At 34.6% G+C, this 27,907-nt stretch overlaps 1 protein-coding gene and 1 pseudogene across 2 annotated transcripts in view; both read left to right on the forward strand.

Annotated features, from left to right (window-relative positions):
• IL1RAPL1 (interleukin 1 receptor accessory protein like 1) overlaps positions 1-27,907 on the forward strand; it is a 1,369,273-nt gene that overhangs the window by 319,991 nt on the left and 1,021,375 nt on the right. The gene's annotated exons all lie outside the window — the stretch shown is intronic.
• On the forward strand, positions 16,633-16,702 carry LOC124900494 (uncharacterized; annotated as a pseudogene).

The raw sequence follows: 27,907 nt of genomic DNA on the forward strand, positions 1-27,907 counted from the left end.
TAGAGACGGGGTTTTGCCATGTTGACCAGGGCTGTCTCAAACTCCTGACCTCAAGTGATGCGTACACCTCAACCTCCCAAAGTGCTGGGATTACAGGCGCAAGCCACTGTGCCCAACCTAATTGATGTTTTAAATATCGAACCAGCATTGCATACCTGGTATAAATCCCACTTGTTCATGGTGTATGTAATTTTTTATGCTTTGTTGGATTAGATTATTTAATAGTTCATTGAAGATTTATGCATATATATTTATGAGAGATAGCTTTTATTTGTTGTAATGTCTATTAGGGTTTGGTACTAAGTTAATACTGGCCTCTTGGAAAAAGATAGGAACAATTTTCTTTACTTCTGTTTTATGAAATATATTGGAAGATTAATATTTCTTCCTTAAATGTTTGGTAGAATTTCCTGGTGAAATAATCAGGTCCTTGTTCTTTTGTTCTTAGAAGGTTATTAGTAATTAATTCATTGTATTTAATAGACATAGACCTATTGAGATTATCTGTTTCTCCTTGTATGAGTTTGTGTCTTTCAAGGAACTGGTTTATTTAATATAATTTATCCAACTATTGACCATAGAGTTATTTCTACTGTTGCTTTATTACCATCTAATATCTGTGGGATCAATATTTTACTTTTGATATTGGTAATTTTTGTCTCTCTCATTTTTTCTTGGCTAGCATGGCTAGTGGTTTGTCAAATTTATTGATCTTTCCAGAGAACCAGCTTTTGATGTCTTTTTTTCTATTTTCCTTCTTTCAGTTTCACTGTTTTCTGCTCTAAATTTTGATGTTTATATTCTTTTTTAGATATAAAGTGTTGTTTTTTCTCTGGTTTCCTAGGGTGAAAGCTTAGAGTTTCAGATCTTTTCTTCTTTTGCAGTACATGTACCTAATACTATACATTTCCCTTAAGTAGTATGTTCACTGCATCCCATAAGTTTTGGTCAGTTGTATTTTCATTTTCATTTAGTAATATTCTAGAATTTCTCTTGAGAATTCTCCTTGACTCGTGATTTATTTGGAAGTATGTTTAACTTTCAAATATTTGGAGATTTTCAAACTGTCTTTCTGTTATTGATTTTTAGTTTAATTCCATTGTGGTCTGGAAGCATACTTCATGTTATTTCTATTCCTTTATATTTGTTAAAGTGTGCTTTATGGGCCAGAATGTGGTCTATATTGGTGAATGTCCCATGTGAGCTTGAGAAGAATGTGTATTCTGCTGTTGTTGGATAAGGTACTCTATAAATGTCGAATATATCAAGTTAATTGATGATGCTGTTCAGTTCAACTGTATCCTAACAAATTTTCTGCCTACTTGATCTATCAGTTACTGAAAGAGGAGGGTTGAAATCTCCAACTTTAATAGTGGATTTATCTATTTTTCTTTTCATGTTTATCAGCTTTTGCCTCGTGTATTTTGATACTCTCATTAGGTGCTTACATATTTAAGATGTTATGTCTACTTGAAGAATTTACCCTTTTTTGTTATGTAGCGTCCTTCCTTATCCTTGATACTTTTCTTGATCTGAGGTCTACTTTATCTGACATTGATATGGCTATTCCAGCTGTTTTTTTAAAATAATGTTAGCATGCGATATCATTCTTTATTCTTTTATTTTCAACCTATCTGTCTTTGATACTTAAAGTGGTTTCTTGTAAACAACATCAAGTTCAGTCTTGTCTTCTCATTTACTCTTACAGTCTGTTTTTTAATTGGTGTATTTTGACCATTCACATTTCAAGTAAATATTGATACAGATGGATTAATGACTGTCATATTTGTAACTGTTTTCTATTTATTGCATCTGTTCTTTGGGGAAAGGAAGTTAAAGTCACTAGGTTTATTATTCCTTGCAACATAAATTAATGGCTCTGGGGGGATATATGCAGGTCTCTCTGAAAGTGTCTATTGTGAACTTCTAGTTTTCTTTTTTTCGAAAGCCTTGACCATGCAGAAACATGAAACTGTTCATATAGCATTGTTTCCTGACAGTTTATAGCCAATCTATGTCAGTTCCATAATTTTTAAACTTAGAACATTTCATTAACCTCCTTATTTCCTTTTTATAAACATCTTCATTTTTCAGGCATTGCATTTAACTTGATTCTGAACCTTACTCAGATGATTAACTCAATCCTTTAAGAAGATATTGAATTTCTGAAGAACTTTCTCAATAATGTTGATTTAAAATGATTAATGATAGTCCCTTTACTTCCCATTCATGCTTAAATTTTATAAAATACAATCCTTTTTATTTAGAATTTAAAGAATTTTCCTTAAATATTGTGAGGTGTAGCAGTAACAGCTTTTTGTTTTGAGCAAAACTTTTCTCTGGTTATAGTAAAAACTGGTTTATTCCCCTTCGCAAATTTGCAAACTCACCAAAAGCCCTCAATCTGTTCTTCCACAAAGATGTAATAAAGCAATTTGCTGTTGAATTCTCAAAATACAAGTATGGCTTTAAAAACAACTTCTTCTGGATATATTTTGTGCAACAGCATTTTAAAATTCTTGTTTATTCTTTTGACCACCTGTGAAATTTGGAGTATTGTATTTTAGCCAGGCTAATATAATCAATTCTGCCAACTCTATGTCAACTACAAGGAAATATTCTTACTTAAAACAAATAAATACCACTAATTAGCTCTTCATTTCGTGAAGTCTGAGAATGTGAGGCTCAGATAGTAACCATTGAAAAAAGACAACTCAGAATGTTGTTATTTGAGCATAATTCTATTGGTTCTCTGACATGAAAGGAAGCCTTTCTCCCCCAAACTTCAAGGGATTTTCTTTATTTGATCTGAGAATCACTGATAACTTTTGCCATTCTCAACCCAACCTGATTCCTTGTTTGTTATGATTTTAACAGTGACAACAAGGAAAAACATTTGATGTTAGTAATATGTGAAATCTTAGGATTCTGTGTCATTCCCTTTATTTTATAGGTCAATACATATTTAATACATTTCTACTGCATATATAGAAAAGGAAAGTGAGATTTATATACTAAAGCATGAAGTACAGTGTCACAAAAGCAGAAGAGGAAAGAATTTCAAGAAGGCTGAAACTGTCATCAGTGTTAGGTTCAGCACTATGTTTTCATTAAAAAAAGAAGAAATAATTTTCATTTGAAAAGTTAAAAAAAAAAAACGTTTTGTAAAGCTTTTGGAATGAGTCTTACTATACTACACTTGTTTTTGTAAGACTGCCTGACCCTAGGAATTCTAAGATAGATGACTAATATAGATAATGGTTGCTGCTTAAGTGTGCTTATGTGTAACCCTAATTCATCACTGTCCAATGGTTAATAGATTTAGAGTAGCTGCATTAAAAAAAAAAACACGTGAGGTCTTTTTTTAAAACATAATCTGTCTTGTCTTTGTCATTTTGGCAATAGAAAATGTAGTTTTATTTTGATAAAGGTTGAAGAATTTATTGGGAGAAGATATCTGATGGCATTAAAAATGTCTCCCTCAAAGCAATTTAAGATATCAAAGTTACTTATTGAGGCTCAATCTGTTGACACAGTCATACACCAATAATTTCCTAAAAGCAGTACAGAATACTAATGGGTGATTATTTTTTAGCAAAGAAAATGCAAATATATTCTGAATTGAATGAATGTTATATTAAAATTAGATGACGAATATTTGAAATGAAGGAGAAAAAGTTCATTAGCAGAAAAATCTCATGAATCATTAATATTTCCACTATAGAGCAAGTTGATTTTTTATTTTAGTACAGTAATGCATAGTATCACATCAAGTCATCTTTTGTTTATACGGTTAAAAGGAATTTTTCAGGAAAGTATTTACTTCATAAATAAAGCTTTTTTTTCTGGAAGTAATTGAGGTTGCATAGCAGTGTCTTCAGTACGGTTAATGTTCAAAGTGAAAAGAAAATATACACAAACTTTGGGTGGAGAATAATACAGATTTCAAACACATCAATAATTCATTTGACATGAAGCAAGGAGGGGCGGTGTGTCCTACATGCTCTGCCATTTTCTCTGCTAGAATTCCACTTCCCCCATTGTATCCTCTCAACTCCCACAACTCCTCTTTAAATTTTAGTTCAAATATCACTTCCTCAGGAAGGCATTCTCAGATTCTCAGATATTGTCAGTACCTACTCTATACTTATTTATACCAAGTACTTATCACATATAGAATTAAAGATTGGTCGTTTAATGGTGTTATCTGTCACTAAAAAGAAAGTTCTTATTGTCATGGAACATGACCACATTGTTCACAGTTGTATTCCTATGTCCAGAAATGGCACTTTGAACATAATGTCCACTCAATAAATGTTTGCTTGGATGACTAAAAAAGGAGATTTTTTAAATGGGGCTAGAAGGTATATTGCTTCCAATCGTCAGGGACTTTGGATTTGTGTTTGTGTGTTTAGGCTACTAGGGAGCCATGAAGAGTTTTTATCAGTAGATTGACAAAAGGAAAGCAATACTCTTGTCAGGTTGTAATGTGTAGAGAGCTTTAAGTGTAGCAAAACTGCAGGGAAGGACACTATCAGAGTACTGATGGCAGTTCACCTTGAAGACAGTATGGTAACAATAACATACGAGATGGTAGCATTGGGAAAATATTCATGATACATTCCAAGGGAAGAATTTATAGCACTTTGCCTTTGATTCCATGTGGAGGAGGAGTATCCTAGATAATTTTAAGGTTTTGAGCCAATGGATAAGATGAATGGTAATGGCATTACTGAAGAAAAGGCAATTCAAGAAAAAGAGCATGTTTGGGGAGGGATAACAGTAGCAACAAAGGCAACAAATTGCCTCTTAATGAGAACATGCTGTCTTATATCATAGTAGATACTACACACATTCTTTCTAATTTGTGCAGTAATTCAGTGTTACTCTTCCATTTGAACCGTTATGGAAGGTAAGGCTCTTAGAGGTTAAGAAACTTGCTTAAAGTCAAACAGTTAGGATGTGGCAGAATTTGGATTTTATTCCGGATTTTATGCTGGCTCCATTATGCCATTTTTGAGAGGATAAGATGTTAAATTAAGATAGAGAAATGATAGAAAAAATATGTGTATATATACACATATACAAACATCCATGTATATAATGTCTGTATATATAACTATAGATGTATGAGTGTGTGTGTCTCCGTGTGTATATTTGTTGTGTATGAGAAATTGAAACACATTTATGTATGGATATTTAGCAAGTGGTGAGGAACTTTGAGATGAGGATTCTGCAGTGATATTGATGTTGGAAATGGGCAATTTATTCCCATATCAGGTTCTAACATTTAAAATGCACCTGAATTTGTATTAAGAAACTTGTCTTGCTAAATTTTAATTCTATCAGATTAATAATAGCCACAGAGCTTGTAAAGGGAATCATTATTCTAACCTTTTGAAAAAATTTTTTTGTAGCTCAGTTTAAAAAAATGGAATCATCAGCAAAAGTTTATGGTTGTTTTGTCATCCAGAGTGTTTCCATTAAAAAGGTTTTGTGATTATTTTATTCAGTTATATTAATAATAAAATTCGTTTTAATTTATATTTATTGTGTTCCATCAGATTCTTCTATTTGTGGTGACAGGTAACTTAACACCCTTGAAAACAGCTGTTTACAAGATGCCATTCTGTAATGTGGGTTTCTTTCTCTTCTAATGGGAGGTCCTAATGAGCAATGTAATGATCCAGGAAGATGAGCAAAAGGACTTAATAATTGAAGATTGAGTGCAAGAAGTGTTCTGTAGAAGTTTATTAAAAATAATCATTGGGTATTTTGGAGATAATTATTTCACATTAGAATGGAGAATATGATTGTACCAGAAAGGAACATGGGCAATCATTCTGTCTATCCTTGTAAATTCTTGATCTGCACCTCTAGAATTTTGGTTCTGGCCAGTTTATGCTGACTACATCCATTTTTGAATTACATACATAATTTTAGATTGTACTTCATAGTCTTATGCTTAACAGTGTGTTGCCTTTGAAAGGTATTTCAGTTTCAATGTAAGCATTTCTTAGCTCCTCAAATTGATGGCAAGCTCCTCCTTTAAGGTCAGCATATGTTTTCTGGAGATTTTTATATCCTTTAAACTGCCTAATGGTGAGCTGAATACAAAATAAAAAATAATACGTAGGCCAACTATTTGGAAGGCTGAGGCAGAAAAATCACTTGAGCCCAGGAGTTCAAGGCTGCAATGAGCTATGATTGCATCATTGCACTCCAGCCTGGGTGACAGAGCAAGACGCTGTTTCTAAAAATAAAATAAAATAAAATAAACTTAGGGAATTAGATACAGCATCTCTTATGGCATAGAAACATGAAGATATTTGTTTCTGTCAACTCAGGGTGAAAATAATCTGATGAAATGGAACAATCTAGTTGAAGTTCAGCTCTGGCTATATGACTTCCGCTTTCTCACCTATAAAATAGTGATAATCAAAGCATTTACCAGTTGTATGTTATCAGAAATTGAATTTTAGGTACTCCTGTGAGCATTTGGAATCTTGTTAATGTTATCATTTTTCCTAATACCATCATGTGATATATAATACTGAGAACTTGGAAATACTACCTTGTGTTTTTATACCCAGAAAACTCAAGTAGATACAAATAATTAGGGTAATTTGAATGAGATAAATTTCAGAAATTAAACTAGTCAAAAATTTCAATATTTCTACATTTTTTATGTGCTAAGTGAAGACCTAGGAAACTCAGTGGGATGACAGCAAATACCTAGACATTGTGCTGGATCGGTACAGAAAGATAAATGAGGTATTTACCTCATTTATGGACTCTATACTTAGGACTCTATACTTAGGAAATATGGACTCTATACTTAGGAAACTTAGGGAATTAACATAAGCACAGGAAATATAACACACATATCAAATGTAGAGTCATCAATTATTTGAAAAATGTAAAATGTTCATCATATAGCCATCTACCATTGAATAATTTTAGATGATCTCAAGTCTCATTATTGTAAGTCACTTCCCCTCCTCCCACAAATGACCTTAAATTATTCCACCAACTCTGTATCTTATTACTTCTTTTGTCAAAGCGAATATTTGGTAAGTAAAATTTTAAGTAAATTGCTTCAGAATGTCACCATCTTATTTCAGACTTTCATGTACACTTCAACATTTGAACCTTTTTTTTTGTACTTAATGGGACTAAAAATATCTGCACTACCTGTACGACACATTGTTATTTGAATACTTTGAAACTGTAAAACACTTTGCAAATACTGAGTATCATTATTTAACTCCAGCTAAACAAACAAGGTTGATATAGATGTTTTCAATGTTGCTGCCTGACAGCAAAACATGTGTTAGCTCAGCAAGAGATATTCTGTATATACTCTATGAAAATACTCGCAGATGAACTTTCCATTAATAAAAACTAATCGCTTGGTAAAGAGGATATTATTTGTTTCTTCTTCTATCCCATTTGTTACAAATTTAGGCATATGAACTACAGGCATATGAAAATCCAGGTTTTACAGTGAAAACTGTAGATCAGTGGCCCCCAACCTTTTTGGCACCAGGGACCAGTTTTGTGGAAGACAATTTTTCCATGGACAGATGATGGGGGGCAGGGGCAATGGTTTGGGGTTGAAAGTGTTCCACCTCAGATCTTCAGGCATTAGTTAGATTCTCATAAGGAGCATGCAGCCTAGATCCCTTGCATGCACAGTTTACAATAGGGTTTGTGCTCCTGTGAGAATCTAATGCCACTGCTGATCTGACGAGGCAGAGCTCAGGCGGTAATGCTTGCTTGCCCACCACTCACCTCCTGCTCTGCAGCCCAGTTCCTAATAGGCCATAGACCAGTACCAGTCCACAGCCTGGGGGTCGGGGAACCCTGCTCTGGATTCTTGCTTCATTCTCTGATATTTTACCATGTTTTAAGAAGAGTTAGGGAAGATTATAGGTCTAGGCAATATAATGTAATGGCAAGTCCTCAGGCTCCAAAGTCATAGATTTCCCTTTGTATCTTGGCCCCAATGCTAATGATGTTTCTTTAGAAAAGTTGCTTAAAAATAACGTTTATTGAATGCGTATAACATCTCAGGTACTGTTGCACATACTTTACATGTATGGGTTATTTACTATTCCCAGAAACACTAGAAGTACATTATTATTATTGTTTCTATTTGATAGATTAGGTAGCTCAGGTATTAAAGAGTTGACGCGAGATTTGATCCCAACAGTGTTTTCCAGAGCCTGTTATTTTTTTACACCATGCTTCTCAGGCTCTGTTTATTATCTATAAATGAGATTAAAAGGTGATCTACTTTATCAGTTTTTGAGAATTAAATGAGACAATAGGTGATGAATAAATTACAATTCAACAGCACCTGTAAATGCTCTTGATATATTCCAAACATCTGTTGGCCAACATATTCATTTTTTTTAACTTGGGTAGCAGTGTTAACACTAGCATAGCTTCTAAATAGTGAAAAAGAAAAAACAAATATATCTATCTATCTATATATGTATGTGTATATATATATATATATATGCTTGTTAATTTGAAATAGCTAATAAAGAACTAAGTGAAATCAGCTACTTACAAGTAGAATGAAAACATTAAAACTAAGTACAATTTAAGAGGATGTAGTGCATTTTGATGGGCTGATTGTTAGTGTGGAAGAGACTTTATTTCTTCCCTACTAACATTCACTGTTAAATTGGATTAAGTTCCTAATTTTAGTCAGTCAAGCATATAAAACCTAGAATAACCACAGAGAGTAGGAGCAAATGTAGCCTACACCTTGGCCCCCAGCATCCCTAATGAGGGCACATAACTCCCAGAAACACTGTTTCCCCATTCTTAGGTCAATTCTTGCTGGGACACTGGCTTTTTATTCTCCCAGCTTACGTCATCATTCAGGAAGTTGTAAATAACAATCTATGAACATGCATTCAAAGGGAATGGTTACAAGCTCAGAATCAACCAGGGTCACATCTTCATTTGGGTTTAACATATTCAAGAACTAGTGTACCCCAAGCCTAAAGGTAGAGACTACCTCCAGCGCTCTAGCCCAGAATAGCTGTGTATTGTCAAGCCCTAACAGTTTATGAATAGATGCTCTGCATGTGTTCTTTAGAGCTGTGCTAGAATTGTGTGTTTGAAACTTTAATTTGTGTAGGAAGCACCTGCAGAGATTGTTAAGGGGATGGTGATCTGGTTGGCCTGACTTGGGGAGTGAGTTTTCTGCATATCCACCAGATTATCAGAGGATGCCCATGCAGCTGGTCATTGGAGCAAACTTGGAATACCAAGCCTGTAAAGCACAGATGATGCATTACCTAGGTGAGCTTCACACATTTGTAAGGAAGTTTTAAGATCGATCTTGTCAGATACCCAGAGCCAGATGACTGCATTTTAAATCTGTGTGCTGCTCTGTTTTTTAAAACTAACATTTCTATTCTAGGAATCTTTTATTATAATTTAGATCTGGAATGACTTTTTTCTAAATGGCTCCCAATGTAATGACTGTGTCTTCAGATTCAGCAACCATGTTTTCATTATCCTCTGAATCACAGAGTATAATTGTGCATTACAGTTTGGGGTTTGTTTTTCCTACTAAGAAACTCCTTTTCCTTGCGTCCTTTCTGATAAATATCATTAATTTTTCCACTATGGAATAATTCTACTTCACTTTTGAAACATAACCTCATTTGAATGTATTTTAACTGGGACTTCATTGCCTGAGGGAAGATGGATTATTAGTGACATGTGTCTTGCTTCTTGATACAGAAAAGATAATATAAAAGTAGTGTTTCTACTATATCTTAAAAAAAGCTTCATATAAGCCAATTTTCTTTAATGATATTGTAGCAAGGGAAAATATTGTACAACTCATTTACCTTCATTTTTACATATTTTTCAACCTCAATGATAATTCTGGAGATATTCATGTGCCTTATCTTGAAATCAAATTAAATCATTCTTTTGTGATATGACACGCAATTTGTGACATTTTGAGCCAACAGTATATTAAGATTTAATTTTCAGTTCATTATAGACCTAGTGCCTAAATGAAATTTATTGAGACTAAGTAACTCTGCAGTGATTGTGGGCTGATGGTTCAAGTACAGTGATTCAGTGATTCTTAGTAGGGGAGAAGATAGGCCATGTAATTGAACTTATCTCTGGATTTTTGAAAGGTTGAGGCAATACCTGTTCTTCCAACCCCTCACTGGCTCCACATTTCAAACACACTATACCTGAGTTGGAAATATCAGCAAATGTGTTTCTAGATGGATATGTGAAAATAAATAATTATTGGCTTACTGTGTTTTTTAAAATTGTGGTATACCATACGTAACATTTACTGCTTTAAACATTTTAAGTGTACAGTTCTGTGGCATTAGGTACATTCACATTGTTATGCAGCCATCATCACCATCCATGTATAGAACTGAGCTACTATTTTTTAAGATGTATTTTTTCCCTTAGATTCTTCTCTTCTGAGTTTGTTAATGATGTCCAATTAAATGTATGCTTATTTTATATGTATGAGGTTACTTTTTAAATGGGAAAGTTGAGCTCCATCTGCCTGAGGGCACTGTAAAAATTTAACTTTCAAAATATAATTCCTGTTTTGCTGTTGTTGTTCCTCATGATTTCCTTTTTTATATGAATATTTTCTTTAAACATATTGACAGTCAATTTGACAAGCTGTCACTTCTGGCAAATGCCACTTTTTCCATTAGTAACTTCCTTCTTTCAAGAAACACTATTAGTCACTATATCTTATTATATTAAACATCTCCTTTTAACACTGGTAACATAAAAATGTTTTACTAACAGTTCTCACACAAAAATATCATATTGAAACAAAAATTAGAGGACCAGAGGCATTTACTCAGAAAGAACAAACTTTTTCTTAGTAATGACAGTGACCCAACCAATCAAATAAATTGAAGAAGTAATAAAATGAATGCATTTTTATCTGAAACGGATGCCACCAGTAACATTTTGGGAATTCCAATTTAAAAGGCCCAATGCCCCCCATGCAAGATTAGTTTTTCAAGATACTTTTACAGGGCTAGGACATTAAAATATTTGCTTCTCTATTGGAGCAGCTCTTTCAACAAGTTGGAGGACTGATCACATCCCTTTGCCAATTGCAGTTCAGATAGGCTCTGGGAAGGCAAAGTACAGGATGTCATGCAAGTGAAAACAGAAGTGATTAATCTTATGGATAGATCAAGGAAATTTATCTGAACTTTAGAAGTGAGACTTGATGCTAAATAGGTGTTTGGTGTATGAAAACTAAGGATGAAGCATTCCTGGTAAATAGAAAGGCCTGATTGAAAGCTCTGAGCTGGGAACACAGCAGAGGGAAGCCTACTTTGGAAGGAGGGATTGGTCTGGCAAAGTGCTGGATAACACAGGTTGTAGGTCATATAAAACCTTGTAGGGGGTTTGAGCTTCTTGAAGCCTATGAGTGCAATGAGAAGCCACTGAAAGGTTTTTAGCAGGAAATTAACATTGTTTCTAATTTTTATTTTTAGGAAAATAACTTGCTACTAAGTGGTGAATGGGAGACAAGAGTGTCTGTGAGGCTAAAGGCTGTTCTTGCTGAAGCCCCAAAATACTTATTTACTCTTTCTTGGTGTAAATGAGATGAAAGATACTACAGGAACATCACATGTGTTCAATAACTGCGCGAGTGATATACTTCCCTACGGGGACATGAACAGTACTTGAACAGCTGTTAATGTCTGTTGCCCTTAGGAAATTTATTTCATCAAGCATACAGTGTTTCAACCCTTATTAACTTATTTCATAAGGCATAATATATCTGACTGTGATCTGTTCACTTAATGCTACTCTGCTCTTTGCACGAGCATGGGACAACCAGTTGCTCTCTGTAGTCGTAGTTTATTAACGTGCAATTAAAGACATTTATCATATCTCTGAAAATGTCTCTTCTCCCATAAAATTAACATCATCTCCTCAAAAAGATGCTTACGATATATGCTGGATTATAGTTACTGTTAAAATGTATTCAGAAACAAAAATAGAATTGAAAACTATAGAGGAATTTTTTTAAAGCATGGGCTTTGGAATCAAACTTGTGTTTGAATTCTAGTTCTGCCACTTACCAGTCATTTGCACTTGAGTAAGGTACTTATCCCTTCTGAACTTCAGTTTTTCATCTGGAAATAGGCATAATGACATCTACTTTATGAAGTTGTTGGTTATGTAAAGCCATCTATGAAAAATGGTTAGACCAGTGACTGACACATACGCATTCCATAAGTGATAGATACATAAATAATATAAATAAAAAATGAATGCTATAGCTGACAAATGTGATTAAAAAGTCTACAATGCAAATTATTTTTATAAAGTATAAAATCCATGTGACCATATAATATACTAGGACAAGAATGCCTGTTAGATTTCAGATTCAAGACAACATACTAAGTTTAAGTGTAGTTATCTTTGCTAGGTTAGCTTTATGTATTTGCATGAATAATTGTTTAAATTTGTCTGATTGTACTACGGACTGGCAGGCAATAAATTTCATTATCTAGTCTTAAAATGTGAAGAGAAGACAGCTCAAAGTTCATTTCTCATGCCTGATCTTTCTGGGGGATACAATGTACAACATCAGATAATTCTTTTGCCTTCTTTTCTTTTGTGCATCCAGTAACAGTTATATCATTTTTTTCTGAATCAGCCTTTTCACAAAACCATTATGTGATAAGCTCTTGTCTTGGAAAACCTCAACAGCTTCCTCAACACCTATATTTTAAATCCTGCTTAAATGAGATTAAAATACGGCACTCTGTTAAGCTGTAAAACTGGCTTTTTGCTTCTCAGTTGAGTGTTGGTTTGAATGTGTCATTTGACCTATATTGCTGCTCTGAATCTTCCTCGGTTGCCCCAATGATGACAGTTTCAATGATGTGGGTGTTTGCAGCAGAGTTGTTCCTAATAAGGAAGTAACGCTATTGTCTTTCAGACATCATTCAGCCTGAAAAGTACTATTTTTCCCACCTAGAGCTATAAATGTCTGTAAAATCTTTTCTTCTTTTGGTAGCATTTGCAGCAGCAGCAGGAAAAAAAAATAGTCCTAGTAGATTTGCAGCTTTTGTAGTTTTGGGGTGTTGTGGTTCCAGGCTAAGATTCACTCACCCTTCTTCAAAAGTTGTATACAAAGGGTTGATAGCTAAATGGTGACTGAAGTACTTGATTTATTAGTATCTGGCAGTCATCCAATATGTACTAGAATACAAGACTCTCTGTCAACAATAGCTGCATAAAGAGCAAACTGCTCTGCCTGAACCTAAAATAAGGCCTTCTGCTGTCTGCCCGTTAATTGAAGACAAGTGGGCCAGGAGTGGCTGAGGAAAAACGAACAAAGAATAGGCAATTGTCATGCACATGGAGGCACTACCTGTGCCTCTTTGAGAAACAGAAATCCCCTGACCTGGTTCTTACATTGAGAGAAGCTAACCCAGCCCAGTAATACATTTTAGCTCCTTGCATGTATAATTATGACCATTGAAAAATAGGATACTACCTTTTTATTGGGTCAGGTAAGATGCAGGAGGAGGGAGAGCAAAGTGCCCTACTTGAGGGTGGGATTGAGATTAGAATGTGAAGAGAAGAGCAGAAAGCTTCCTTCTTACACAAATAAAGGTTCTGTGGATTCATCTAGAAAAATGAGTTAAAAAAAAAACGAGTGGAACTATAGTTTCTAAAGTCTGTGGAGTTGGGACAAATGGTAATTATAAAGACTAAATGTGAATACTCATAGTTCTTTAATTTGATTGTATTACCACTTAATTCATAGTTTTGAAGGAAATAGCCATTATATTAGATGGCACATTAATTTTAAGATGCAACCCAATTTTCAAAATGTTAAAATGGAAAAGAAAGTTAAAGGGTGATTGTTAGGACAAGCATCTCCAAATACTCTGTGTGGAGGCATTTTAATTCCATGCTCTTGCAAAATTAAACTCAAAAATGTTTCAAATTACTGGGTGTTATATGCCCTTCTGGTGGAAGCCACATTTTCTCTTTCCTTTCTTTCCCTGTCTACCCTCCCTCTTCCCCTTCCTCCCCAAATCTATCAGTAAAGACCACCTTGCTGTGGGCAGCTAGCTGAAAGAGACCATCTGCCTTAGGAATAGCCTACACTAGATTCAAACTACAAAGAAGCAGGTTGGGGGAAAGAGGAAGTGAGGATTTCAAGTCAAGAAAGCATCCTGCCTACTCTGGCAAAGTATTCTGCCAGCAGCATATTTGGATTCACACTGTGGGTTTAATTCTTTCCGTTTAATACTTTTTGTTGACCTTATAAAGCCAAAAAATAAAGGAACACCCATGGCACTGCTGGAAAGAGGTAACTGATTTCTGATGAACCGGTAGGCATTTTAGCCACTAACCAACGTATCAAAGTGGGCACAACTAACACATGTTAACAGTTTTCCCAAAGTAAGAAGCTTGGTTTGGAGTGAACAGGCCTTGTACTTTTGAGATTTTATTTTATGATTTTGTGAATTGATGTTCTGTGGGGAAAAAACTTGCCTTAGTTTTAATATAATGGTCAATGACTAAGAAAAATCAAGGAGTTGGGCTGGGTGCGGTGGCTCTCGCCTGTTGAGAAATTTACATGTCCATCAGTTTCTTGTATTGTAGTTTGAAATCAAGAAACTACCTCAGTTTCTTGTACAAGTAGTTTGAAATCAGGCGGTCAAGTTTCATTCTACCCTGCTAGAATATACAAGAATCCAAAGCAATAATGTAATTTATACATTTCAAAAGGCTAATGCCAAATTTTATCAGCAAATTGGTCATAAGTCTCCAACTGGAACAAAGTGAGTGATTGTTGGGCAATGTAGTCCTGCAATGTGAAATTCTTGTATGCATTCCTTCTTAAAAGGAAGCAAAATAAGCCTTTCCTATAGAATTTCCACTTCAAGATTCCATCATCGGCACATATCAAATACTGTTGGCAATGCTGAAAGTAAAAGCAAGGACTCACATAAAGTCTTTTGTTGCTGAAATTAAAAATAGTTGTCACTATTTTCAATATCAAAATCCTATGGTTTTTGACAGGTTTAAATTCTCTGTTGATTCATTTCAGAACAGGGTCATCTTTTTATACTTCTTTGACATTTTAAAAAATAAGTAGTTTGGCTAGAAATTGAGTGTTTCAAGCCATCTTGGCCCTTTGCACCCTAAAATTTCAGTAGCACTGTCAAGCGAATCAGTTCTTAAGAGCTGGAAACACAAAGAAGACAAATATCAAAGAATTAATTAAAATCTTTTCTTGAATGACAAAATTGACATTATCTACTACTTATATAAGGAGACTACATTGTGGATTAACCCTGAAATCAGTACTTGGAAAGTTTATTCCAGTGTGTTTCACTGAAATTTAAATTCATGACATTTGAAAAATGTAAGTTATAATTAAACACTGAGAGTAATTCTTGTGGTTATTGTATATTTGTTAAGTATTCCATGGTAAATGTGACCTGTAAATCTGTTAAATTAAATACTTGGGAGTAAATTTACTTTTACTTTCTGTGGAAACATTTGGATTACCCCAACAGTAAAAGTAACAGATTAAAAATATAATATTCTTTATTTTCAACTTTTATTTCAATATATATGCCAGTCAAATGCCAGTGAATAATAATCACATTTGATTGTCAAAGCTCATGGAATGGTACACCTAAGATTTGTACGTTTCTTTTTCTTTCTTTTCTTTTTTTTTGAGAAGGAGTTTCGCTCTTATTGCCCAGGCTGGAGTGCGATGGTGCGTTCTCGGCTCACTGCAACCTCTGCCTCCCGGGTTCAAGCGATTCTCCAGCCTCAGCCTCCCAAGTAGCTGGGATTACAGGCAAGCACCACCACACCCAGCTACTTTGTAGTTTTAGTGGAGACGGGGTTTCTCCATGTTGGTCAGGCTGGTCTCGAACTCCCAACCTCAGGTAATCCACCCACCTCAGCCTCCCAAAGTGCTGGAATTACAGGTGTGAGCTATCGTGCCCAGCCTGTACGTTTCTTTATATATGAAGTTTGCATTAAGAGATCATGAATATTGAACTCTAGTGAATGATATGCCTGCTGAAGTGTTTTAAGGGTGAAGAGTACTGATGTCTGCAACTTACACTGAAATAAAATGGAGTGATATTTGGATTAAACGATGAATAGATGGGTGGGTATGTAATAAAGCACATATAATACAATTTATTATTGAACCTAGATGGCGGGTATATGGGTGTTCACTGTAAAATTCTTCCAACTTTTCTGTGTGTTTGAAAATTTTTCATAATAAGATGCGAGGAAAAAGCTTAAAACATGCTTGAATTATAATTCTATAATATATTAATATTAAAATACTGGAAGTACTCTTGCTTCATCAAAGTTACTTTCAAAAATATTGGTTTTTGTCATCTTCAAAGCATGTAATAAGAATTTTTTAAATTAAGTATTAAAATAAAACTTTTAATGTTTGAAACTTAAATCTCACATGGCACTGTTCCTATTATGGATTTTGGGGGTTAGACCTGTAGCTACCCATGGTATCTTCTTTCAGTGGCTCATATATACAAGATTTCAATTTGTAGTTCCCTCACTAAAAACAAACAGCCTCTGATGAAATTTATCTTGATAGGGACATCTGAAAGTGTTGATGAATGCCAAGGACTCTAATGGAAAACAAACAAACAAACGATAATTTAAAAAATACTGTTTGCTTTAAAATTCTACTAAAATGGAGTTAGTCTACATGATAACATTAATCCCATTTGCTGTGCCAACATTTAAGAAGGAATCTGTGGTTTATCATCTGGTTTGCCAATTTTTTGTTAAATATGAGGAATATTTTAGTAATAATTTTTTAAAGATTACATGCAATAATAGCTTAAACTTTAATACCCATTAATGAGTATCCATAAAGAAAACAATTCAGTACCACTTAAAAATAATTTGAATATCAGTCATCATAATACGATGAACACATTTGATAGAGAATATGTGAATAGAAGTACATTGAATCAGTTTTATTCTATCTACAGATGCTGAATGGCATAGGGAATTGTGGGTCTCATGAAATTTTCTCAGAAGTACCCGGAGGATCTTCACTACCAGACTGATAAACACAATTTTTTGGTTCTTTGCCCACACAGGAAACTTTTCTAGAAAAGTTTCAAAGAATACATGCCGAAACATGAATCCTGGAAAAGAAAAGTGATCTTCTAAATTTGAAAATGAAAGATTTATGTGGCTCTCACGTGAAACATCCTCTGGCAAGGGAGTAGGTACATGATGGAAATACATGGATTTTCACTGAAGAAATGAAAATATAAGTGGCAAAGTAAACTTCATTTATACTATTGAAATATTCAACTGAGGAAAGTACATTACTTTTAAATTGGAAGAAGCAAGGGCACATGATTTTTTTACAGGCCATGTCATTCTCTCATTTCTTTCATATTGAAATTAGTTGGACTTTTCTTTATCATAACGAGTGTTGCCACAGTTTACACCTGCCATTCTGACTTTTCGTATACCACCTGTTGAGAGGAATTTTTTTTTCATTCTGTTATCTACATCATTGAAAAACTTAACACAATCCATGTAAAGAAGAAACAAAAATATACTTGTAATGTTCACATAAATATAGAAATATAACTTAGGAGTCCACCTAATGCTAGAATTTTTATCGCATTTTAAGTGTTATGGAGTTTTAAAATTTCCATGTGACTTAATAGCTGGAAGGAAGCATTAATATTTAAATATTAATTTCAATAAAGATAAAACAAATTAATACTTTTAAATGAATATTTTAAATTCCCTAACGAGAAGACAATTGCATAAAATTAAGTATGTATTTTAGTTTGAAGAACTAAATCATTCGTGATACATGACCGTACTACCTGCCGGATTCATCTTTTTGCCAAATATTTCAATAGTAATTCTTGAAGTCAATTCTCAGCACATATCAACTTTTACTGTTGTGGTGGGTGAGAGAGTGGAGAATCAGGCTTTAAGGTGAATTTATAATTTACTATGTGAATATTGCCAGGAGTTAGAATGACCTTTAAACATTTTGTGAATTGCCTATTTCAATACTTAAGGATTTTGTATACGCAACCCTGTACAGTAATTATCAAGCATACTAAAGTTTTAGAACTACCAAGTTAAACTTAAGAACCAAAGGGGCCAGGTGCGGTGGCTCACGCCTGTAAAGCACTTTGGGAGGCTGAGGCGGGCGGATCACAAGGTCAGGAGTTTGAGACCATCCTGGCCGACAGGGTGAAACCCTGTCTCTACTAAAAATACAAAATTTAGCTGGGTGTGGTGGTGCGTGTCTGTAGTCCCAGCTACTCGGGAGGCTGAGGCAGGAGAATTGCTTGAACCAGGGAGTCGGAGGTTGCAGTGAGCCAAGATCGTGCTATTGCACTCCAGCCTGGCGACAGAGTGAGACTCTGTCTCACACACACACACGAAAAGAACCAAAGGACGTCTGTTTTGCAGATATTTAGACATTCTATTATTTGCTTTACAAATAACTAAGAAATACCTAGTGATGAATAAGAGTTGGATGGGTGATTCTGTAGCTAAGCTGTTCAGTACCGTAGCCATTAGCCACCTGTGGCTACTTAAATTTAAGTTCATTATAATTAAACAAAATAGAAAATTTGGTTCTTCAGTCACAGCCGCCAGATTTCAAGTACTAACAGCCAAATGTGCCTAGCAGCTTCGTATTGAGCAGCACAGAAAGACATTTCTATCATTGCAGAAAGTTCTACTGAAGAGTATTGTTCTCAACTGTTCATCTCCCTGGGATTTTATCTATTTTGTTAAAAGATCAGACTTCTAAAAACATAACAACTTGTTTTGAGAATTATAGAAGCTATTTGAGATTCAAGTTATCTCATAGAAAAAGTTGATTGTACATTTTAGGTGTTGTATTTTCTGAAAATATCTAGTATTGTTAAAACAAGAGTACTTAGTAAGAATTATTGATATGGCACTGTACATTCCTTGTCATTAAAAAAGTGGTCAGCACAAGGAAAAAAAAAACATATATAGTTTAACTAAAAATCACTTTTCCTCTCCTAAAATTATTCTTTAAGTTGTGGTTTACAGGCTTGATTATAGCAAACCATCTCAATGCCTGCATGCAAATAGCTAAATATTATTGACTAATCTCATTTTGAATTCATAGCCACAACAATTCTCAAAGGAGATTCAGCCTCTCCAAGCACCAAACATCCTATTCCATTTCCACTTCTTATTCTCTAAACTGATTTTCACACCTTCTTCTCTCTCTTCAAACCTCCCTCTCACAACAGTTATGTCTTCTTTTTACTTCATTGAGGAAAAGAAATATGACACCCCATTTCCCTCATTTTTTCATCTGCAAATCTACCAGCTCATCTGGATCCAAATCTACATTCTCCTCTTCCCACCTTTTTTTTAGAGATGGAATCTCCCTCTGTTGCCCAGGCTGGAGTTCAGTGTGTGATCATAGCTTAATTACTACAGCCTTGAAATCCTAGGTTCAATAAATCCTCCCACCTCAGCTTCCTAAGTATCTAGGACTACAAGTGCATGCCACCACGCCTGGGTAATTTTTAAATTTTTTTGCAGAGACAGGGTCTCACTGTGTTGCCCAGGCTGGTCTCAGCTCTTGGCCTCAAGTGATTCTCCTGCTTCAGCCTCCCAAAGAACTGGGATTACAGGTGTGAGCCACTGTGTCCAGCCTAAATCTACACTCTTGGCCTGCCTTTCAGTTTTACTGGAATTGACAAGTTTACCTGTTCTCATATCATGTCCAGCCTTTCCACTTGGACTCTGGATTTCATTTACTTTTAACTTATTCATGCATGTTCTTTTGAAATTATCTCTCTCCTCCTTCAATATCAATTTTTTTGTGTGTGCCTATAAATATGTTCTGCTGTTTTCTAACTTTAAACCCATATAAAAATACGCTCTTTTGATTCTCTTTTCTCTTTCGGATATTACCTTGTTTTTCTACTCTCCTTGCTACATGCAAACACACATCAAAATCTAGAAGGAATTATTCATACTTTTTATTGCAATTATTTACCTCGTATTCTCTTTTCAAATTAGTTCATCAGGGCTTCCCTGACATAGGCTGGTTTTCTTTCCTCCTTTCCTTCCTTTTTTTTTTTTCTTTCTTGTTTTTGTATCCTATGGTCACATGACTATTGCATTGTCAAATTGAATGGCCATGTCTCTGTTCTTCCCATACTTGATCCCTCCACAGAATTTGGCACAGTTGACTACTTGCTCCTTCTGGAAAACTGTCTTCTTTTGTACTGAGCCACATAAAATCATCCTGGTTTCCTCCCCTCTCAGTTTCCTTTTCTCATCATTTCTGTATCCCCAAATGTTAGTGCCAGTTCTAGCTTCATACTTTTTTTTGGATTAAGTCATCCAATCTAATGTCTTTAAAATGCTAACTATATGCAAATCACCCTTAATATGTTTTTATATTTAATTCTAACTTATCTCGTGAACATGAGGCTTTTTTCCCCTCAAACAGCTTACTTGACATACCCATGGGAGTACGTATCTAATATGAATGTCAAACTTAACATAAACAGACCTTTTGATTTTTTTCCATCAGACCTCCCAGCATAAACAACAAACAAACCTGCTGAGCCCTCACTGATTAACTGGTTCCATTATGACCCGATGACTAAAGTCAAATTTATAAATGCTTTTATAAACTTCATATCTAATCATCAGTGAATCTTGTCTCCTGTACCTCGCATCCCCCAAATCTGGCCACTTTTCTGTTTCTTCATTATCACTACCTTATCTCAACCCTTATTACTTCTCACCTAGACTGTTACAATTATTTCCTGTCATGTTTTTTTTCTTTTGTCACCATACAATTAAATCTCCCTTCTTCCTCTACAGATACAATAATCTTTGAAAAGGTAGACCAGGTAATTTTACTCCACTGACTTCCTATAACCCTAAGGCAAAGATCTGAATATTTTAACCTGGTCTACAAAATCCTTCATGTCCTAACCTCTGCCTAGCTTTTTACCCCACGTCATTCCCTTTCCCACTTGCATCTCAGGCCAACTCCTACATTAGCATCTTTATGTAGTTAGTAGATGTTTCTCTGCATGAAATGTTCTTACTTCAGATCATCTCTATGTGGGCTTCTCCCTTAATTGATACTTTCTCAGAAATCTTAATTAAGTGATACTTTCTCAGAAATGCCTTTCCTGACCTAACGAAAGTAGGAACAGTCACTCTCAATCACTTCAACCTATTACAGTTGTCAGTGTGGAACTTATGCTCTCTAAAATCTTTCTTATTTTACTTATTTACTGATTAATTATGTATCTTTATCTGCACAAAATAATCTCCATTTTATCCCCACTGTCTGGAGCTTTGCCTGTTCTAGAATCTGAACTCTTTGTATGAATTAAATAAGGATGAAGTCAAAACAAACTGTACTGTTTTTTGTTTCAAGTATCAGGCGATATTTAACTATTTGAAGTTATGGGACTACCAAAGTTACTCCTTCTGGTTGACACTTTACTGAGACAAACACCAGTGATATGAAATTTCCATATAGTCATGCATCACTTAACAACAGGCATATGTTCTAAATGCATTCTTAGACAATTTTTTGTTGTGGAAACATCAGAGTGTACTTACAGAAACCTAGATAGTATAGCCTACTACAAACCTAAGCTATATGGTAGAGCCTGTTACTCCTACAAACATGTTACTGTACTGAATACTTAGGCAATTTGAACACAAAGGTAAGTAATTGTGTATCTAAACATTTCTTAACATAGAAAAGGTACAATTCAAATACAATATTATAACCTTATGCTACCACTATCATATTATGTGGCCTGTTATTGACAGATACATTGTTATTCTGTTCATGACTGTATTAGTACCAGGTTGTGGCTGTTTCTAATATATCCTCTCCCACTCCTCTCATTCCTTACTGAAGTCACCAGGGTAGTAGCAAATCACTGGAACCAGACCTATAATATATCTGACTTGGTATCTGTAACTGTTCTGAGAAACATGTGTTGAAAGGCAGCCAGGCTGCCTGATGATTATTTAGTAGCTGTCTTTCTTTACTGAACAACAGTGAATAATATCTTTGATCTCTGCCACTGAGAAATAAACAGAACCCATCAGGAATTTAATCCCTGGGAATGATTTTCACATTTCCTGGTATAGACGTTTGATTTTGAAGCTCATATGGTTTGCACAATAAATATTTACCTATTTATGTCAAAATGCATGTTAAATCATTTTTATGGTTGGTGTGAGGAATTTGTGAAACAATCCCATCCTTTTGTTATTACTGTGTTTTTGTAAGAGGACTTCTCACACCTTAACCTCATCAATAGTTTTTCCTGTGTGTTAATGCAACAAAATGGAAGCAAAAAGATATATTTTGTTTTCATTTATTTTATTCACCTGAATCTATCCAGAGGGAAAGCACTGGAAGTGTTTTCTTTTTAAGAGTGTTAACTTGTATTCTTGGTAAGATCTCATCAAAAGCTTAAATAACGAAGGTAAGAGTCAGTATTCTGTGGACAGCTTAGCTCTACACAAGACCTTCTGTCCATCTTGCTAGTTATTTTCCAGTTAATGGAAATCTTATAGACAGAAAAGCTCATGTTAGCTTCTCCCGCATAGTATTATGTCAACAATCCTTACTCTAATCCTTGATGCAGCTCTTTACCTAAATGTTATAGAGATGGAGAATCACAGCTGCCAGCAATTCAAAATATAACATGCAGTAGCTATTTTTTAAAAAAAATTTTATTTGCTCTCATAAAAATACCATCTTAAAGGGTTTTTGAAAATTTACTTGTGATTTTGTCTTTTTTTAAAGTATTGAGAAAACTATTGAGTCTGAAGTAAAGTCTCTAAAATACATCTTGTCTTATTGTAAAGTAATATGACTGATATTTTGTGTGAATTTTAGAATTAGTTTTTTCACTTTATAGATTCATTACATAGTGGCACTTGATTTAAACATTGCATCAGTACTGTAGCCCTTGGGCATCGTGTATAGAGTGTCTATTAGCTTTAACTCATTTCTAAAAAATTAACTTCTAAGAATAAGAAAAATATTGAAAACTCTTGAAAGTAAGTTAGAAACGACCATGATTTTATTTTTATTTTTAATTTTTATTTATTTATTTTTTTGAGACGGAGTCTCACTCTGTTACCCAGGCTGGAGTTCAGTGGCACAATCTTGGCTCGCTGCAAGCTCTGCCTCCGAGGTTCAAGCCATTCTCCTGCCTCAGTCTCCCGAGTAGCTGGGACTACAGGCACCTGCCACCACGCCCGGCTAATTTTTTGTATTTTTGGTAGAGACGGGGTTTCACCGTGTTAGCCAGGATGGTCTCGATCTACTGACCTCGTGATCTGCTCGCCTTGGCCTCCCAAATTGCTGGGATTACAAGCGTGAGCCACCGCGCCCAGCCGATTTTTTTTTTTTCCTGCAAAACCATCTAAGGGAGGTGTTTGGGTTTTCAAGGAAATACCGGCTATAAGCATCATTGGATGTTTTGGTGGGGTGGGTTTTTTGAAAATGTGTATGCAGATAACAGTGAGTGATATTGCATAAGTATTTTAACTACTTAGATTGTTTAAATTTGGTTAACATAAAATCAAGGAAATGGCTTGCATTATTCTATCTTTTCTTTTCTAAACAGTGTTTCCTTAACAATTAATTCTAACAAGTCTTGGAACCATGGGCACTTTCTTTCCTCCTGTCACCATGATTGATCCCTATTTTGTTGGAAAGTGAAAATTGAGCAGTTTTAACTCTAAAGGCTAACATTATGGAAAAAAATTTCAACTGAATTTGCTAGTAAATGCTTTGTATGAAAATATTTAGAATTTAAGTACTTCTCTTTACAGACAAAATCATTTATTTTCAGTGTATTATGAACATAGTTCCTAGTAGGGTATGTAAATGATTCACTTTTAAATTATGAATATTTTCTTCCAAATTCCATTGTTAAAATTAGTAAGTGTAAAGTATGACTTTTAAGCAATATTTCATTAGCTATCATTAACAAGTATTTAACCACCTTGTTTCAAATTAGTTAGCTAATGAGGTATAAATTATTAAATCTGAAAATTTTATTTGGACAAGTATTGTATCATTAATTTAAAATGATTACAATGTAGTTGAATTGTTATTCAGTATTTAATATTTTATTGCCTATAAAAATAAATAATAGCCATGCAAACTTATTTTTCAAATGGTGTTATCTGTGCTATATTTAAAATAGGCCAGGTGCGGTGGCTCACGCCTGTAATCCCAGCACTTTGGGAGGCCGAGGCGGGTGGATCACGAGGTCAGGAGATCGAGACCATCCTTGCTAACGTGGTGAAACCCCGTCTCTACTAAAAATACAAAAAAAAAAATTAGCTGGGCGTGGTGGTGGGCACCTGTAGTCCCAGCTACTGGGGAGGCTGAGGCAGGAGAATGTCATGAACCCGGGAGGCAGAGCTTGCAGTGAGCCAAGATCACACCACTGCACTCCAGTCTGGGTGACAGAGCGAGACTCCATCTCAAAAAAAAAATAAAAAATAAATAAATAAATAAATAAATAAAGTTAGGTTTGCATATATGAGCATATGCATTTATAACTAGATGGAAACTTCCTTAAATATTTAACATTTCTCCTTAAATTTTATATTTTATAGTACTTTTTTATGGTTAGATTCTAAGTTCTACTTACATTCAGTGTGTATACAAATTGAGATAGGGGTTGTAATGGAATATATAACTTGAATATTTCTATTTGCATTGCCATAGCATCATTTTATTTTGCTCTTAGCAAAATCTTTCTATAGAGGCTTTTTCTCCTTTCAGTTGTAAAGAATCTCTTATCTTTAAAAAATATGTCTCATTATTTTCTTACAATGTAATAGTAAAAACAAAAATACCATCAGGTTTTTCTCGATCCTTCCTATTTTCCTGGATGTGTGCTTTTGTGTTTTTATTGATATGGATAAATACATCTTCAAATTCAAGTACTAGCGTTTCAGAGAAGTAATATGCTTCTTTTGTTCTGGTTCCTCTTAAATGTTAGTAATAAAGAAACAATTAACCTAGATATAGAACAACTCAGTGAAGGGAAAATGTCTTCATGGGTCCCTTGAGAAAGACCTATTTAGCTTTTTATGTTTCTAATTTTTAACATTGAGTATAGAGTATATAGCTGTCTTTACACTTTTTTTTTTTTACATTTTAGCTTATTTGTAATGCTAACAGGTAAAGTAGAAAAAAAAAATCACTAAAAAAATGGGGATTTAGTAGAAAAAGAAAACTCAGTCCCTAAATAATATCCTACACATTTACATTATTTCCTTATGATATTTTAAGTGTTCCCTATGAATATTTTTATTTTCAAAATGCCAAAGTTATCAGTAATTTTAAAGCTAATACTGCCAATCTTACTCTTCCAATTCTACTCCTAATCTTTTCCTCCTAAATGCTTGATCCAAGTACCTCCCTTTGGGACAAGTACCAAATGTCTTTCTCCATATGATTTTTTGAATGAATTCTGAGTGAGTTAATTAATTAATTCTAGGAATTAATATTTCTTTGATTTCTAGCAAGCCAGAGCATTTTCTTCAAATGTGCATTAACCATGTGTTAATTATATCTTTATGTATACACTGTAGACATTGTGTATGTGTCTGTAGATTTCCAGCTTGGATTTATACATTTTAATTTTCATTGGTTTGCTTTTACTGTCTTAGGCCCCTCAATCCGTGGGTAGACCTTGGAGGAGCAAGCTTTCAGATCTTTTCCACTGGAGTTCTCTCCCCCATTGCAGCTCAGTGGCCATCATGATATCTACCAGAACATTCAGTTTTCTGAAACTGTGTAAACACTCTTGTAAAAACACAGTGTAGAGTCACTGTGGGAGAGTGTCTTCAACCACCATTCCTATCCTGTAACTGAACATAGCTGATAATATGTCAGTAGTTTTATTTTTGTCCATCATTCAAATAGAGTTCCACAGTAATTGTTTCCTCTTGGAAGATAACTTGCTTAGCAGTGGGGAAAAAAATGGATTAGACAGGGTAAAATGTTATCGGAAATGGGCCCTGATCCAGAACCCTAGAGAGGGTTCTTAGACCTCACACAAGAAAGTATTCGGGGAGAGTCCGTACAGTAAAGTGAACACCAGTTTATTAGGAAAGTAAAGGATTGAAGAATGGCTACCCCATAGGCAGAGCAGCGGCATGGGCTGCTTGACTGAGTATACCTATAGTTATTTCTTGATTATATGCTAAATAAAGGGTGGATTATTCATGAGTTTTCTGGGAAAAGGGCAGGCAATTCCTGGAACTGAGGGATCCTCCCCCTTTTAAACCATGTAGGGTAACTTTTGGATGTTGCCATGGCATTTGTAAACTGTCATGGTGCTGATGGGAGTGTATTTTAGCATGCTAATGCATAATAATTAGCATATAATAAACAGTGAGGACGACCAGAAGTCATTTTCATTGCCATCTTCGGTTTGGTGGGTGTTGGCCAGCTTCTTTACTCCATCCTTTTCTGTCAGCAAGGTCTTTGTGACCTGTATCTTGTACAAACCTCCTATCTCATCCTGTGACTAAGAATGCCTGACCTCATGGAGATGCAGCCCAGTAGGTCTCAGCCTCATTTTACCCAGCTCCTAGTCAAAATGGAGTCACTCTGGTTCGAACACCTCTGACAAAAATATTCTAAGTATAAATACATCAAACCACATTGAAAAATTCATCACCAAGTTACTTTCAGTACAGTTCATTACCCCATATCTAAAAGCGATCTTGAAATCTGCTTGGTTGTTAGTGGAGACGTTTCACTTCCTTGTTATTAAAAACCTTTTCGCTAACTGCCTTATTAAGATATTATTCATATACCATACAGTTCATGCCTTTAAAGTGTACAATTAAATTTTTTTTAGTATATTTACATAGTTGTGCAATTATCACCATAATCAATTTTACAATATTTTCATCACCCCCAAATGAAACAATGTACCCATTAACAGTTACCACTCATATTGCTCCTAACCCTTCCCCCTCAGCCATAGGCAACTACTAATTTATTTCCTGTCTGTATGAGCTTGCCTATTCTGCACAATTTATATAAACAGAATAATACAATTTGTTGTTTCGTGACTGATTTCTTCCACTCAGCACAATGTTTTTAAGATTCATCCATATTAAAACATTTATCAGTACTTCATTCTTTCTTATTGTTGAATTACATTCCATTGAATGGATATACCACATTTTATTTATCTGTTCATAATTTAATTGTCATTTAGGTTGTTTCTAGTTTTTGCCTGTTATAATGCTACTATGAACATCATTTACAAGTTATTGATGTGTTTTTCTGTCTTTATGAATAGAAATGCTGTGTCATATAGTAACTCTATATTTAACTTCCTGGGGAACGGTCATACTTTCCAAAGAGGATGCACCATTTTATATTCTCATTATCTAATGTATGATGGTTCCAATTCTTCCATCTTTCTCAACAATACTTGTTGTTATCTGTCTTTTTTATTATAGCCATAACTGTTTTCAGCAGTTCTGTGGATTTATTTCACTTTCTTGATAGTGTCCTTTGAAGCACAATAGTTTTTAATTTTTTATAAAGTCTACTTTATTTTTTTTTAGTTTTTATTTTTGGTGTTATTTCTAAGAGATCATTGTCTAATCCAAGGTCACAAATTTGATCCTATGTTTTCTTGCAGGTTTTGCTATAGTTATAGCCCTTACATTTAGTTAATCGATCGATTTACAATTAAATTTTTACAAAGCGTAAGGCAGAGTTCCAGCCTCCTTCCTTGGTTATATATATATA

Source organism: Homo sapiens, chromosome X (genome assembly GCF_000001405.40).
Source record: "Homo sapiens chromosome X, GRCh38.p14 Primary Assembly".
Lineage (NCBI taxonomy): Eukaryota > Metazoa > Chordata > Mammalia > Primates > Hominidae > Homo > Homo sapiens.